Source organism: Homo sapiens, chromosome 9 (assembly GCF_000001405.40).
Source record: "Homo sapiens chromosome 9, GRCh38.p14 Primary Assembly".
Taxonomy (NCBI): Eukaryota; Metazoa; Chordata; class Mammalia; order Primates; family Hominidae; genus Homo; species Homo sapiens.
Window position 1 is genome coordinate 69,088,242 of NC_000009.12, and position 16,065 is coordinate 69,104,306.

At 44.4% G+C, this 16,065-nt stretch overlaps 2 annotated features.

Annotated features, from left to right (window-relative positions):
- Window positions 226-726: an enhancer, noted in NCBI's record as "H3K4me1 hESC enhancer chr9:71703383-71703883 (GRCh37/hg19 assembly coordinates)". NCBI's record gives its function as "activates a minimal SCP1, AML or CMV promoter by ChIP-STARR-seq in primed H9 embryonic stem cells {active_cell/tissue: H9 hESC(primed)}" and the evidence as "EXISTENCE:reporter gene assay evidence [ECO:0000049][PMID:30033119]".
- Window positions 2,004-2,973: an enhancer, noted in NCBI's record as "OCT4-NANOG-H3K27ac-H3K4me1 hESC enhancer chr9:71705161-71706130 (GRCh37/hg19 assembly coordinates)". NCBI's record gives its function as "activates a minimal SCP1, AML or CMV promoter by ChIP-STARR-seq in naive H9 embryonic stem cells {active_cell/tissue: H9 hESC(naive)}" and the evidence as "EXISTENCE:reporter gene assay evidence [ECO:0000049][PMID:30033119]".

Sequence of the window (16,065 nt, forward strand, 5' to 3'; positions counted from 1 at the left end):
TTTTTTTTTTTTTTTTTTTTTTGAGACGGAGTCTCACTCTGTCGCCCAGGCCGGACTGCGGACTGCAGTGGCACAATCTCGGCTCACTGCAAGCTCCGCTTCCCGGGTTCACGCCATTCTCCTGCCTCAGCCTCCCGAGTAGCTGGGACTACAGGCACCCGCCACCGCGCCTGGCTAATTTTTTGTATTTTTAGTAGAGACGGGGTTTCACCTTGTTAGCCAGGATGGTCTCGATCTCCTGACCTCATGATCCACCCGCCTCGGCCTCCCAAAGTGCTGGGATTACAGGCGTGAGCCACCGCGCCCGGCCGGCGACTAATTTTTATATTTTTAGTAGAGACGGGGTTTCGCCATGTTGGCTGGGCTGGTCTTGAACTCCTGACCTCAGGTGATCCGCCCGCCTTGGCCTCCCAAAGTGTTGGGATTACAGGCATGAGCCAACGCACCCGGCCTGAGTCCTGCTTCTTCCAGATCTGGTGCCCAGTCCTGACGCCAGAAAGGGGGTCTTGTTCCAGACCCCAAGAGTGTTCTTGGATCTTGCCTGGGAAAGAATTCAGGGTAAGTCGCAGAGTATAATGAAGTTAAGATAGTTAATTAGAGGCTACTCAATTACAGAGTAGGGCATCCTCAGAAAACAAGAGGAGGAAGGCGCTACCTTAAATGTAGTGCTTGCTTATGTAGGTTGTATAAGAATTGTGTACTTTATTACAAAGGCTTGTGATCAGCTTGTGACAGGCTATTGGTACTGTTATTTTCCTGTTACTATTGATTTCAGCAAGAATTTATGAGTACACTATTATATTTAAGGCAAAACCTATTCCTTAAGAATGCTTTTTGTTCTTAAAATACTGGGACATTTCCATAAGTTCTGAGTCTTTAGTTAGCAACATTAACTCATTCCCTCAATCATAAACATCTCATGACCAAGAGTGCCCAGTTCCTGGGGAATGTAACCCAGCAGGTTTGGCTTTATTCGGCCTTTATTCAAGATGGAGTCACTCTGGTTAGGACACCTCTGACAGTCCCTGGAAATCCAAAGGAACCCTTCTGTGTGGCACAGGGAATGGAAGAAAGAAAGAGATGAGGCAGGAAAATAGGGTCTGGAGGCAGAAAACATAAGCCGATTCACACTTCAGCTATGACAGGAAATATCCTCTCCATAGGGCGTATGCCTGTAACTTTACTTCATCCTCTTCATTTACATAGGACGTATCCTAAGTAACCAATGGAATCGTCTAGAGGGTATTTAAACTCCCAAAAATTCTGTAACAGGGCCTTTGAGCCCCTATGCTCGGGCCCGCTCCCACACTGTGGAGTGTACTTTCATTTTCAATAAATCCCTTCATTCCTTCCTTGCTTTCTTTGTGCTTTGTGCATTTTATCTAATTCTTTGTTCAAGACGCCAGGAACCTGGACGCCCTCCCCTGGTAATAGAGAGATGAGCCTTTCAAATGACCTGACTCCTTTATCCCAGCCAGGTGTGTGCCCGACCCTGAAAGGAGGAATAGGGAGGGGGACGTTCAACCCGGCCTCCCGCTCTGTGTTAGCAGCGTCTGGATGGGTCAGGGTGGAGGTGGGGGTGTTCTACCCTGCTATTTGCTCCTAGAGAAGCTTCTCTGCTTCACTAGTCTCACAGTTCTAAAGGCAAGAACAGCCCTAGTGGGATCTTCCAAGGATTTTAGAAAAGAATGAATAAGGGAAAAATTAAAATATTGCAGGGTGCCATAAAAACATCCCAGTAAAACAAACACCTTTCTAGATGCTCATTGGAACGTAAATGGAGCTCAGCCCCCATCCCTTCACACCAGATCCAGTCTTCATCTTTGTGGTTCACTGCCCCCTCACCACTCAGGAGGAAAACCCCAGCTTCTGTTCTGGCTCCCCTTCTCTCACTTAGAATTTTTCACCAGAGTTTCAGAAAGATTTGTCAGGACCACTCCATGCCCAAGGTAAAAAGTGTAAGTGGTACAAAAAGGTAGAAACTCATCAGACCCCCAAAGAGTGTCATTTAACCATACAAAGCCCTGATAAACTCCAGGGCAGAAGAAAAAGCTGCATCCTTGACTCCACTGGGGCATTCTTATGTAAACTAAGATCCAAGAACTGCATCAGGAGAGAAATCAAGAGCCCTGGGGATGTTAGGATGAGCCCTAGAGGTGCTAAGACAGGTTATTTGAAAAACCAAAAAGTAGACTGAGATTCCCTTCCTTTTCAGGGAAGAATTGAGACCTTTCCTTTCTTACTGTTCAGAGTGGGGGCTGATAAGGGTAATTATTTCCTGGAGCCACTGGCTACTGCCCTGGGAAGGAAATCCGCTGGGTTGGGGGAGGGAGGAAGGCAGAACCAGGCATTAACTCTCCCTCCACTACATCCCTTTCCCGTACCCCTCCCCTCCTCTCCTTCCCCCCACTCCCTGCCCCCGCCCTCCGAAAATGACACTTGGCCTGAGAAAGGAGGAAGGTAGAATAGGTGGACACTTCCCTTGTCCTGCTCCAGGGGTGTCTCAGTGACAAGGAGATGTGAAAAAAGAAGGAATCCCAAGGCTCCCCTTGGAAAGAAGGGAGATCTCCAGGGGCTTTGGGAAGTCAGGTTAGTACTGGGAAGGCTGAAGACTCCCAGTAGATAGCGTTCAGGGCTGCATTTGGCTGCAATCCTATAAAATACATTCTTCTCTAAGGTTGGATACAAGCATTTAGAAGACTGGCCATTAAAAAAATAAACAGTATTAATAATATTAATAATCATGAGTGTCAGTAGTGTTGAATTTTTTCTGGAATCCTTTCCCAAGTTGCCTAATGCCCAGAGAAGGAAAATAACAGTGTTTAGTAGACATAAATTATAGGATTAGTGCAAGTAGCTATTGAGATGATGAGCCAAGGCTTGTAAATTGGTTTTGTTTTGGTTTTCCTAATTAGATGTTTGCGCCTATCTGTGTATGTGTGTGTGTGTTTGTGCGTGTGCATGCTCGCATGTGGTTAATTTCATGACTTTTGCCTCTGGCTCTTCCTGATTAAAAAAAATACTTAAAATGGTAGGAAGTGGCACACACCCTTGATGGACCTGTGTTTATATTAAAGAATTGGCTTAGTAAATTTAACTGGGACAAGGAAACTGTGAAGGACTGTATTTTTGCCATTATTTAATAATTCATATATTCAACCGTTACTGATTGCCTATTTTGAACCAGGCCACGTGCTAGGATACAATGGTTAACAAACACATTCCCTCCCCTCAAGGAATTCATGGTCTAGTGAAATACAGAGATAGAAAAGAAATAGAAAAGTATATCAATAAAATGCATTGTGGAAAGAGTTATGGTCATAGTGTGTACTATATGCTTATAGAGGCTGCCTTTGTATAAACATACATAAGACTGCTTTTTAAATTATAAAAGGCAGTACATAGGCCAGGCGTGGTGGCTCACACCTGTAATCCCAGCACTTTGGGAGGCCGAGGCGGGTGGATCATCTGAGGCCACGAGTTCGAGACCAGCCTGGCCAACATGGTGAAACCCCATTTCTACTAAAAATACAAAAAAAAAAAAAAAATTAGCCAGGTGTGGTGGTGGGCGCCTCATCCCAGCTATCAGGAGGCTGAGGCGGGAGAATCACTTAAACCCAGACGGAGGTTACAGTGAGCTGAGGTGGAGCCATTGCACTCCAGCCTAGGCAACAAGAGCAAAACTCCATCTCAAAAAAAAAAAAAAAAAAAAAAAGGCAGTACATAGTACAAACTGCTTGGGTTTTGTTGTTGTTGTTTTACTGTACCATATAGGTTGGAGATCATTCCACCTAGTAGCTGAACATTTTAAGCAGATCATCTGGCTACAGGCAGTGAGTAGGATGAACTGGGAGAGTGATGAGTGAGTTAGAGAGTTAGGGAGGGAGGGTGCTGTCGGAGTGTTACCGGAAAGGGGTCCCGATCCACACCCTAAGAGAGGGTTCTTGGATCTCGCACAAGAAAGAATTCAGGGCGAGTCCATACAGTAAAGTGAAAGCAAGTTTATTAAGAAAGTAGAGAAATAAAAGAATGGCTACTCCATAGACAGAGCAGCCCCGAGGGCTGCTGTTGCCCATTTTTATGGTTATTCCTTGATGATATGCTAAACAAGGGGTGGATTATTCATGCCTCCCTTTTTAGACCATATAGGGTAACTTCCTGACGTTGCCATGGCATTTGTAAACTGTCATGGCGCTGGTGGGGGCGTAGTAGTGAGGATGACCAGAGGTCACTCTCGTGGCCATCTTAGTGTTGGTAGGTTTTGGCCGGCTCCAACACCGGCTTGTTGTTTTATCAGCAAGGTCTTTATGACCCATATTCTATGCCCACCTCCTGTCTCATCCTGTGACTTAGAATGCCTTAACTGTCTGGGAATGCAGCCCAGTAGGTTTCAGCCTTATTTTACCCAGCTCCTATTTAAGATAAAGTTGCTCTGGTTCACACGCCTCTGACAAGAACATCTTCATGCCTGTGCCTGGTTGAGAGAGGGAGGCCTCTGCGCTGCTGCTGGATCTAGTGAAGATTCACTCAGTCTCTCAAATTCCTCTACAGTTTCTCTAATGGAAGAGAAAAGTGGTGTTATTGCTGCTAGGGAGCAACCTAGAAGTTATTTTATTTATGCCATAGATATGGTGGGCTAAGCACTGTGCCAACGTTCAATAAGTCACTGCAGATTCTCCATAAATTATTGTGACAAGTACAATTGTTTGTAAGGCTTAGATCTAGGTGTGTAAGTCCAAAGAAGGGTGTGAAGCATCTGTATTTCTGTTATGTAGTTATTAGGAAAAAGGATGTTGGGGCCTTAAAATGGCCATTTTTAACATTTCCAAACTTGTGTTGAATTCTAAGATTTTATAATTGTATGTTTCCAGTTGAGAAGAGCTTTGATATTGGTAGCTCTAAATAAATAAATACCGTTGACCTGGAAGAGAAGGTAAAGTTTAGGGAGAGGCCTTTTTTTAGCTTTATATTTAAACATTTTTTATAAATGTGATTCATGGGCCAGGCCTGGTGGCTCACACCTGTAATCCCAGCACTTTTGGAGGCCAATGCAGGTGGATCACTTGAGGCTAGGAGTTCGAGAGCAGCCTGGCCAACATGGTAAAACCCCATCTCTACTAAAAATTAGCCAGGTGTGGTAGCACACACCTGTAATCCCAGCTACTCAGGAGGCTGAGGCAGGGGAATCACTTGAACCCAGGAGGCGAAGGTTGCAGTGAGCCGAGATTGTGCCACTGCACTCCAGCCTGGGTGACAGAGTCAGACTCCGTCTCAAAAGCAAAACAAAACAAAATGTTATTCATAATGCTCGGGTTGTAACTATAGTACTTATCTAGCAAAAGCTTGCTTTTTTTTTTTTGGCTTTGACTAATTGAAACTGCAAGAGCTTACTGGCAGAGTGGTGTACTGGTCAATATTTAACCAATTCTCCAAAGGGGAAAAACCCTGATTTGTATGTAGGATTTGTCAGTTTCCATGGTATAAATAGTCTTCCCACAGCTGGTAGGGTGACCAACTTGTTCTGGTTTGCCAGGGGCTTTCCCATTTTTAGGCCTGAAAGTCCTGAATCCCAGAAAATTCCTCATTCCCCAGGAAATAGCTTGATTGGTCACCCTAATGGCTGGTTGCAAGCTCCCGATATGACAGAACTGGACGAGAAGTTGGGCAGAGATGTGCACATGGTACCAGCCTATGCCAGGAGCAGCGGCCTCCAGCACCCCACTGTCAGGGAGTCCTTGGCCCAGTAGAGGATGGTTAGCAGGGCCCGGCTGTTGTTCATATTAGCTCTCAAATTTACCACCAACCCTGTATTAGTTTCCTGGAGCTGCTGTAACAAAGTTCCACAAACGGGGGTCTTAAACACAGAAATCTATTATCTCACAGTTCTGGAGGGCAGAAATAGAAAATTAAGGTATGAGCAGGACTCTGCTCTTTTGATGGCTCTAGATAATCCGTTGTATGTCTTTTCCTCAGCTTCTGGTTTCACAGGTAATCTTTGGCGATCCTTGACTTGCATCTGTGTAACTCCAGTCTCTACCTCCATCATCCTGTGGCATTCTTCTTTATTTTTCTTTCTTTTTTTCTTTTCGAGACAGAGTTTCGCTCTGTTACCCAGGCTGGAGTGCAGTGGCGTGATCTCGGCTCACTGCAACCTCTGCCTCCCAGGTTCAAGCGATTCTCTTGCCTCTGGCTCCCGAGTAGCTGAGATTACAGGTGTGCGCCACCACACCCAGCTAATTTTTGCATTTTTAGTAGAGGCGGGGTTTCACCATGCTGGCCAGGCTGGTCTCGGGCTCCCGACCTCAGGTCATCTCCCTGCCTTGGCCTTCTAAAGTGCTGGGATTACAAGCGTGAGCCACTGCACTCGGCCCATGGCATTCTTCTTTTGGTGCCTTTGTCTTCACTGACTTCTTGTAAGGAAATCAGTCGTATTGGATTAGAGGCCTACCTTATTCCAGTATGATCTCATTGTCTTAATTTAACTAAAACATCTGCAACAACCTTATTTCTAAATGAGGTCACATTCTGAGGTATTAGGGTTTAGTACTTCAACATATCTTTTTTTTTTTTTTGAGACAGGGTCTCATTCTGTCACTCAGGCTGGAGTGCAGTGGTGCAATCACACAGCTCACTGTAACTTTGAACTCCTGGGCTCGAGCAGTCCTCCTATCTCAGCCTCCCAGATAGGTAAGATTACAGGTACATATCACCATGCCTAGCTAATTTTTCAAATTTTTTATAGGGGCTGGGCCCAGTGGCTCACACCTTGTAATCCCTGTAATCCCAACACTTTGGTAGGCTGAGGCGGGCGGATCACTTGAGGTCAAGAGTTTGAGACCAGCCTGGCCAACATGGTAAAATCCCATCTCTACTAAAAAAAATACAAAAATTAGCCGGATGTGGTGGTGGGTACCTATCATACCAGCTACTCACAAGGCTGAGGCCGGAAAATCCCTGGAACCCGAGGGGCGGAGATCGCAGTGAACCGAGATCACGCCATGCACTCCAGCCTGGGTGACAGAGCAAGACATAACCTTAAAAAAGAAAAAAAAAAATGTAGAGATGAAGTCTTGCTGTGTTGCCCAGGCTAGTCTCAAATGCCTGGGCTCAAGCAATCCTTCTGCCTCAGTATCCCAAAGTGCTAGGATTACAGGCATGAGGCACTGCACCAGGCCTACATCCTCTTTTTTTTTTTTTTTTTTTTTTTTTTTTGAGATAGAGTCTTGCTCTGTCTCCCAGGCTGGAGTGCAGTGGCACGACCTCGGCTCACTGCAACTTCCACCTCCTGGGTTCAAGTGATTCTTCTGCCTCAGCCTCCAGAGTAGCTAAGACTACAGGCATAATATCTCTCTTAGATATGACAAATAATATCACAGAGTGTACACCCACTGTGATGTTAGGAGTAATACCTCCCTATGATATTACAAGTAATACTGCCTTTAGATACTACAAATAATATCACAGGGTGTACATCTACTGTGATATTAGGAGTAATACCTCCCTTAGATATTACAAATAATATCACAGGGTATACACCCACGGTGATATTAGGAGTAATATCTCTCTTAAGCGATCCTCCCATCTCAGCCTCACAGAATTAAAGGAATTACAGGAAGAGCTGCTATACCTGGCTGGATCTATGTTTTAAAAATATAACCCAGATAACCCTGTGGTCAGTGTCTAAGATGAATTGGATTAGACCAAGGGAGAAAAACTAAAGATGGGAATACTAGTTTGGGACTTTGCTTGCTTGCTTGCTCTCATTTAGAAAACATTTAGTAGTTCTACAATGCTCAGGCACTGTTCTGGGAGTCACAAATATAGGATTGAATAAAGTAAATAAAGCACTTGCTCTCCTGGAGCTCACTTTTCACTGGGGGAATGCAGATAGTAGACACATACATCTATAGTATCAGTAAGTGCTAATAGAAAAATGAAGCAGGTGAGATGGATCATGCTGAGTAGAATGTATCTTCTTTTCCTTCCTTCCTTCCTTCCCTCCCTCCTTCCTTCTTTCCTTCCTTCTTTCTTTCCTTCCTTTCTTCTTTTCTCTTTCTTCCTTTCTCTCTCTTTCTTTGCTTTTTATTGTCTTAAAATGTACATAACATAAAATTTACCCTCTTAACCATTTTTAAGAATACAATTCAAGGCCGGGCATGGTGGCTCACACCTATAATCCCAGCATTTTGGGAGGCTGAGGCAGGCGGATCATGAGGTCAGGAGTTTGAGGCCAGTCTGGCCAATATGATGAAACCCCATCTCTACTAAAAAATACAAAAATTAGCCAGGCTTGGTGGCACATGCCTGTAGTCCCAGCTACCCGGGAGGCTGAGGCAGGAGAATAGCTGGAACCTGGGAGGCAGAGGTTGCAGTGAGCTGAGATCGCACCACTGCACTCCTGCCTGGACAAGAGAGCAAGACTCTGTCTCAAAAATAAATAAATAAATAAATAATAATAATAATAATAATACAATTCAGTAGCCTTAAGTACATTTGCATTGTTATGCAGCCATCACCACCATCCATCTCCAGAATTTTTTTGAGTGGAGCTCTTTTTAATAGAGTAGTTGAAGGCCTCTGTGACACAGTAGCATCTGAGCAGAAGCTTGAATGAAGTGAGAAAAGAATCCTTTTGCATAGTTTAGGGGAAGTATGTTCCATTCCTGGTCCTGGAAATAGTTAAGACTATCACAATAGTGCAGGAGAAAGATGATACAATACAGTTTGTGTAGCTGAAACCCCGTCTTCAGAATGTAAAGGAGAACAGATGGGAAGTCATGTTCCTCCCAGAAGTAATTCATGTAGCAGAGAAGCCAATGCAGATCCACGAGACAGACAATTCAGTGCTCTGCACAAGAACTGTGCTTTAAGCATGGAGAGGATTTTTGTATCTGTCCTGGGATCCTACATCAAACAGCATGTGGTGATTGTGAACACAAACGTACAAGACTGTGAACCCTACCAAGTTTCCTTCTTCCATTAGATATGAATAAGGAGTCATGAGTTTCCTTTGGAATGTCCTTTAGCCTGTTGGTACATGTTTTGCCTGTGACGAATGCAGTTACTCATAAATCATTGAGCACATTGGGTACAGAGGGCAAAAGATAAATTCCTGTATTTCCTCTATTCGGTCAACAGAAATACCTCTAGGCCATAATCCATTCATCCAATCTAATAATTTTGCCATCCATAAAACCTTCAGGTGTTCTGAATTCAACATCTTTTTTTTTTTTTTTTTTTTTTTTTGAGACAGAGTCTTGCTCTGTCACCCAGGCTGGAGTGCAATGGCAGGATCTCGGCTTACTGCAACCTCCGCCTCCCAGATTCAAGCGATTCTCCTGCCTCAGCCTCCCGAGTAGCTGGGATTACAGGTGCCCGCCACCACGCCCAGCTAATTTTTTGTATTTTCAGTAGAGACGGGGTGTCACCATGTTGGCCAGGCTGGTCTCGAACTCTTGACCTCAGGCAATCCACCCGCCTCAGCCTCCCAAAGTGCTGGGATTACAGGCGTGAGCCACCATGCCTGGCTGAATTCGACATCTTGCACCTAATTCCTGTTCAGTTAAAGACCCAAATCATGATCTCTGACTTACCTGGATATTTGAAAGATTAACTTGCTGTGGTGATACCATACTAGAGTCACAAAATCAAGCCCTACCCTGCCACAGCCACCTAAAGGAAATTAGGTGATATACAAAAGAAATTGACCATATTGTTGTCCTTTTAGTGACTCTCCTAATTTTCTTCCCCTGAAAACTTACAGAGAAATTTGAGTATGTTTGCCTTAGGTGGATGCTTGTTTTTTTATTGATATGAAAAGCAGTAAGAGGAAATGGAGTTTTTTGGCCTGTTAAGGAAGGGCAGCCACTGTAAACACAGTTGAGTGCAAATTCACAGTGTTAGAATGTTGAAGTGTATATAATGATTTTGCAAAATTTTCTACAAGGCTGATACAGTATCCAATCAGGACTAGGATTAGATATATTGTCATGTATGTTTGCGCAGGAAATGCAGAGACTCTAAGGTGCTACAACTGCAATTTGACATGTGGGATAGTTCACTGGTAACTGTTGATCTCCCTGAGGTTTAAGTTTACAGTTCCACAGCTCTTTATCTGAAACTCTTGGGCTATGTGTTATGGAATTTAGAATTTTTTCCGAAATACGTTGCATATATTGTATATTATGACATGATACCTCCAAGAAAGACTTGGAGTCACATCCTATAAACAAACACATGAATATATCCCAGTGAAATGTATGACTATTTTTACTAAAACAAATGAGAATCATAAATAGACTTACATTACTTCAGGTCAGATTTTGCTGCCGAATTAGTTTGGGCATCGAACTTTTGGTTTCAGAGACAAAACTGTGAAATTTTAGATTATATTATGGGGTTGTGGACCCATGTAACCCTCCTCTCCGTAATTCCTAAAAGCAAGCAATTGCATCAACCAGTCTCATGAGTAGCTGCGATTCTAGAAATCAAGAATCCGGATCTGAAATTAGCCGGGCATGGTGGCAGGCACTTGTAATCCCAGCTACTGGGGAGGCTGAGGCAGGAGAATCGCTTGAACCCAGGAGGAAACTGCAGTGAGCTGAGATCGTGCTGCTGCACTCCAGCCTGGGCAACAGAGTGAGACTCTGTCTCAAAAAAAAAAAAAAAAAAAAAAAAAGAATCCAGATCTGGGCAGGACCGAATTGCTGACATGCCCCCGGTATAGCAGAGACGTTTTGCCTACATGTTACACACCTGAGTAATAGTTGTCAGCAGCTGATGAAGAAGATGAATGTGCTCTTAATGTCCATCTTTGATTTCCAGTCATTTTGCTTCTGGGTCTTGGCTTCCTGAGGAAAGAAGTCTCCAGTAGGTGAATGCAGTGATATGGAGAATACTTTCTTCTGGCTGCATGCAGTAACTCACACCTGTAATCCCAGCACATTGGGAGGCTGAGGTGGGCAGTGCACTTGAGGTTGGGAGTTCGAGACCAGCCTGGCCAACATGGCAAAACCCCGTCTCTACTGAAAATACAAAAATTAGCTGGGCGTGGTGACAGACACCTGTCATCCCAGCTACTCGGTAGGCTGAGGCATGAGAATCACTTGAACTTGGGAGGTAGAGGTTGCAGTGAGCCGAGATCGTGCCTCTGCACTCCAGCTGGGCAACACAGCGAGACTCTGTCTCAAAAAAAAAAAAGTGTGTGAGAGAGAGTACTTTCTTCCTGTTTCCTCATAGGCCAGTTCTCTCTGGCATGTGAGTTTAACATCAGTCACCTCCTTCACACACAGCGGGTGCATTCGTAATAGGAGGTCCTTAGCTGGGAGTTTTTATGGCACATCAGTGGGGCGTGAAAACACCACATAGGAGCTAATATATCTTTGCTGGCTGCTTTCTCCGGCTCCGCAGCAGACAGAAACCCTATGAATCATATCCAGGGGTCAGGTGCAGGCAACAGACAACTAATATCTCCCAAGTGAGTTGAAAAGGATCTTGTTACCCAGCATCCTAAGGAGGTTGTAGCCTTGGGAACCACAGGCAAGAATAATTAACTCAGCTCCTCGGTTAGTGCCTCTTCAGTTCGAGATGGAATTTATTTGCAGGCATGGCTCCTTAATATGCCAAACCCATGCTCAAGACATACTCCTTCTCCTGGAAGGTTAACGTGGCTCCTGTGGCTGTTCCATCCCTGAGGAAAAGTGAGGACCATGCTCTCCAAACAGGCCATGTGCTGGACTACCTCTGTTTCTGTCTCCTGGGATTCCAATCAGCAAGTGAGCAACGAAGCAACCCAGACAGTGTGGTTCATAGGATGGCTGGGTAAGTGGCTGTTTGTTTTTTCCTTACTGTGGATATGTATCAGTGAAGGAATCTGTAGAACATTCTTGATGGGAACATTTAGTCATATCAAGTCAATAAATTAATGTTTAGGCTGGGCGCAGTGGCTCACGCCTGTAATCCCAACACCTTGGGAGGCCAAGGCGGGCAGATCATCTGAGGTCAGGAGTTCAAGACCAGCCTGGCCAACATGGTAAAATCCCGTCTCTACTAAAAATACAAAAATTAGCTGGGTGTGGTGGTGCATACTTGTAGTCCCAGCTACTCTGGAGGCTGAGGCAAGAGAATTGCCTGAACCTGGGAGATGGAGGTTGCAGTGAGCTAAGAGTGCACCATTGCACTCTAGCCTGGGCAACAGAGTGAGACTCTGTCAAAAAAAAATTAAAAAAAAAGAAAAATCATTATTTTATTTTTGACTTATTATTAATATAAATAATTATATCTTGGCCGGGCATAGTGTCTCATGCCTATAATCCCAGCACTTTGGGAGGCCAGGGCAGGCAGATCACTTGAGCCAAGAAGTTTAAGACCAGCCTGGGCAACACGGTGAAACCCTGTCTCTACAAAAAATATAAAAAATTAGCTGGGAGTGGTCAGCTTGCCTGCAGCCCTAGCTACCTGGGAGGCTGAGGTGGGAGGATCACCTCGGCCCAGGAGGTAGAGGCTGCAGTGAGCCATGATTGTACCACTGCACTCCAGCCTGGGTGATAGAGTGATGAGACCCTGTCTCAAAAAAAAAAAAAAAAAAAAAAAGAAAGAAAGAAAGAAAAAAGAAAGGAAAAGAAATCATATATTGGTGAGGAGACAATTCAACACATATTTTTTATTGAACACATACTATGTGTCAGGGTACCAGATATAAGCTCTATCTACAAGGATTTTAGGAGCTGGAGTATGTGTATGGGGGGATGTATGAGTGTGTATAACAAAGACGACTCCTGGGGAAGAAGAGGAAGACAAGCCCCAGAGGTATACTGCATAGGCATAATACACAACAGGCTAGCAAAGAAGCAAACCATGGGTATGGTAGAGAGAATCAGAGGATACATTGGGGACCATGTCTAGTGAGTGAGGTCAGGAGAGACTTCAATAATCTGAGTGAATTTAGACATGGGCCTTGAAAAGTGGACAAGGTTTGTTGTTGTTGTTGTTGTTGTTGTTGTTGTTGTTGTTGTTGTTGTTTTTGAGATGGAGTCTCATTCTGTCGCCCAGGCTGGAGTGCAGTGGTGCGATCTCGGCTCACTGCAAGCTCCGCCTCCCAGGTTCATAACATTCTCCTGCCTCAGCTTCCCGAGTAGCTGGGACTACAGGCGCCCGCCACCACGCCCAGCTACTTTTTTATATTTTTAGTAGAGACGGGGTTTCACCGTGTTAGTCTGGATGGTCTCGATCTCCTGACCTTGTGATCCACCCACCTTGGCCTCCCAAAGTGCTGGGATTACAGGCGTGAACCACTGCGGCCGGCCTAAATTTGTTTTAAAAGTACGCATAGGAAGGCTGGGGGCTGTGGCTTATGCCTGTAATCACAGCACTTTGGGAGGCCAAGACAGGCAGATCACGAGGTCAGGAGATCGAGACCATCCTGGCTAACACAGTGAAACCCCGTCTCTCCAAAAAAACAAAAAATTATCCAGGCCTAGTGGCACACGCCTGTAGTCCCAGCTACTTGGGAGGCTGAGGCAGGAGAATCGCTTGAATCTGGGAGGTGGAGGGTGCAGTGAGCCACTGCACTCCAGCCTGGGTGACAGAGCAAACTAGGTCTCAAAAAAAAAAAAAAAAAAAAGTACATGTGGGGGACAGGTGCAGTGTCTCAGCCTGTAATCAATCCCAGCACTTTGGGAGGCTGAGGTGGGTGGATCACTTGAGGTCAGGAGTTCAAGACCAGCCTGGCCAACATGGAGAAACCCCATCTCTACTAAAAATACAAAAATTCGCTGGGCGTGGTGGCGCACGTCTGTAGTCCCAGCTACTGGGAAGACTAAAGTGAGAGAACTGCTTGAGCCCAGAGGTCGAGGCTGTGGTGAGCGGTGATTTCACCACTTCAGTCTAGCCTGGGTGACAGAGAGAGACCCTGTCTCATATAAACAAATAAATAAAAGTTTATTTATTTATTACACATATTTATTACACATTATTACAAGACCTTGAACTAACAACATTAACATGCATTTGTTAAAGGAAAATAAATTAGCTCAGATGCTACTACTTTTCATAATACTTGCACGATTGATTTCAATCCCTGTTCATCTGAATGGAGAGTTGCAGGTATACTATGCAGCTATTCTACTTATATTCTGTTTTTTAATGTAACAGTATTATTTCTTGATGTCTCTACACATTTTATATCACTTTAATATTTAATAAAAACATCTACCATAAGTTCTAAAATGGTAAAAGGAAGAATAGTCATTAGTACTGTCACTACCCTGAATGAATACAAATACAGTTTGCACTAGGGCTTATTTTGCTCCTGTCCTTTGCCTGTGCATTTCATTTTTGCATCGTGGTAATCATACTGGGTGAATTTTGTATTCTGTAATTTCAACTGAATATTATATCATAAGTGTTATCTACAAGTTCCATGAGGACCAAATCTTCTCCACCTTTTTCACCATTTTACTTAGCATGGTATAGTAAAGCTGGCTCAATAAATATTTGCTGATTGAATAAATGTTGTTACATGCTCTTCCTGATTAACATATATATACGCATATACAATTTTTTAGTGACTGCATTAATTTACTTCATTTTTTCCTAATTGTTGGATATTTCAGTTGCCATTTTTTTGCTTTTATGAATAATGTGTTGATGAAAAGATTTGTGCATATAGTTTTCTCTGCATTTGGACTATTGTCTTTTTTTTTTTTTTTAAAGATAGAGTCTTGTGCTGTCACTCAGGCTGCAATGCAGTGGCGCAATCTCGGCTCACTGCAACCTCCACCTCCCGGGTTCAAGCTATTCTCCTGCCTCAGCCTCCTGAGTAGCTAGAATTACAGGTGCCCACGACCATGCCCAGCTATTTTTGTATTTTTAGTAGAGAAGGGGTTTCACCATGTTGGCCAGGCTGGTCTCGAACTCCTGACCTCAGGTGGTCCTCCTGCCTCGGCCTCCCAAAGTGCTAGAATTACAGGCATGAGCCACCAACGCCCAGCCTTGACTATTGTCTTAAGATAGGGTGAAATTACAGGATCAAATGATTTGGACAGTTTTGCAAGTCTTAATGCATTTTAAATTAAAATGCTTTTTAAAAAAGCTGGGACAGCCAGGTGCGGTGGCTCATGCATGTAATCTCAACTCAGGAGGCTGAGGCAGGAGAATTGCTTGAACCTGGGAGGCAGAGGTTGTGGTGAGCTGAGATCGCACCACTGCACTCCAGCCTGGGCAACAAGAGCAAAACTTCGTCTTAAAAACAAACAAAAAAAGCTGGGACAGTTTACAATGGGCAATAGCCATGTACCAGCTTTACCACACCTTCACCTGCCCTGGTTTTTTTGTTGTGTTTTTCAATTGTTGTTATTGATTTAAGTGAAAGAATTTTTTTTTTTTTTTATTGATCATTCTTGGGTGTTTCTCGCAGAGGGGGATTTGGCAGGGTCATAGGACAATAGTGGAGGGAAGGTCAGCAGATAAACAAGTGAACAAAGGTCTCTGGTTTTCCTAGGCAGAGGACCCTGCAGCCTTCCGCAGTGTTTGTGTCCCTGGGTACTTGAGATTAGGGAGTGGTGATGACTCTTAACGAGCATGCTGCCTTCAAGCATCTGTTTAACAAAGCACATCTTGCACCACCCTTAATCCGTTCAACCCTGAGTGGACACAGCACATGTTTCAGAGAGCACAGGGTTGGGGGTAAGGTCACAGATCAACAGGATCCCAAGGCAGAAGAATTTTTCTTAGTACAGAACAAAATGAAAAGTCTCCCATGTCTACCTCTTTCTACACAGACACGGCAACCATCCGATTTCTCAATCTTTTCCCCACCGTTCCCCCCTTTCTATTCTACAAAACCGCCATTGTCATCATGGCCTGTTCTCAATGAGCTGTTGACAGAATCTCGCTCTGTCGCACAGGCTGGAGTGCAGTGGCGCGATCTCGGCTCCACCTCCCAGGTTCACGCCATTCTCCTGCCTCAGCCTCCCGAGTAGCTGGAACTATAGGTGCCGCCACCATGCCCGGCTAAGTTTTTGTATTTTAGCGTAGAGACCGGGTTTCACCATGTTAGCCAGGACG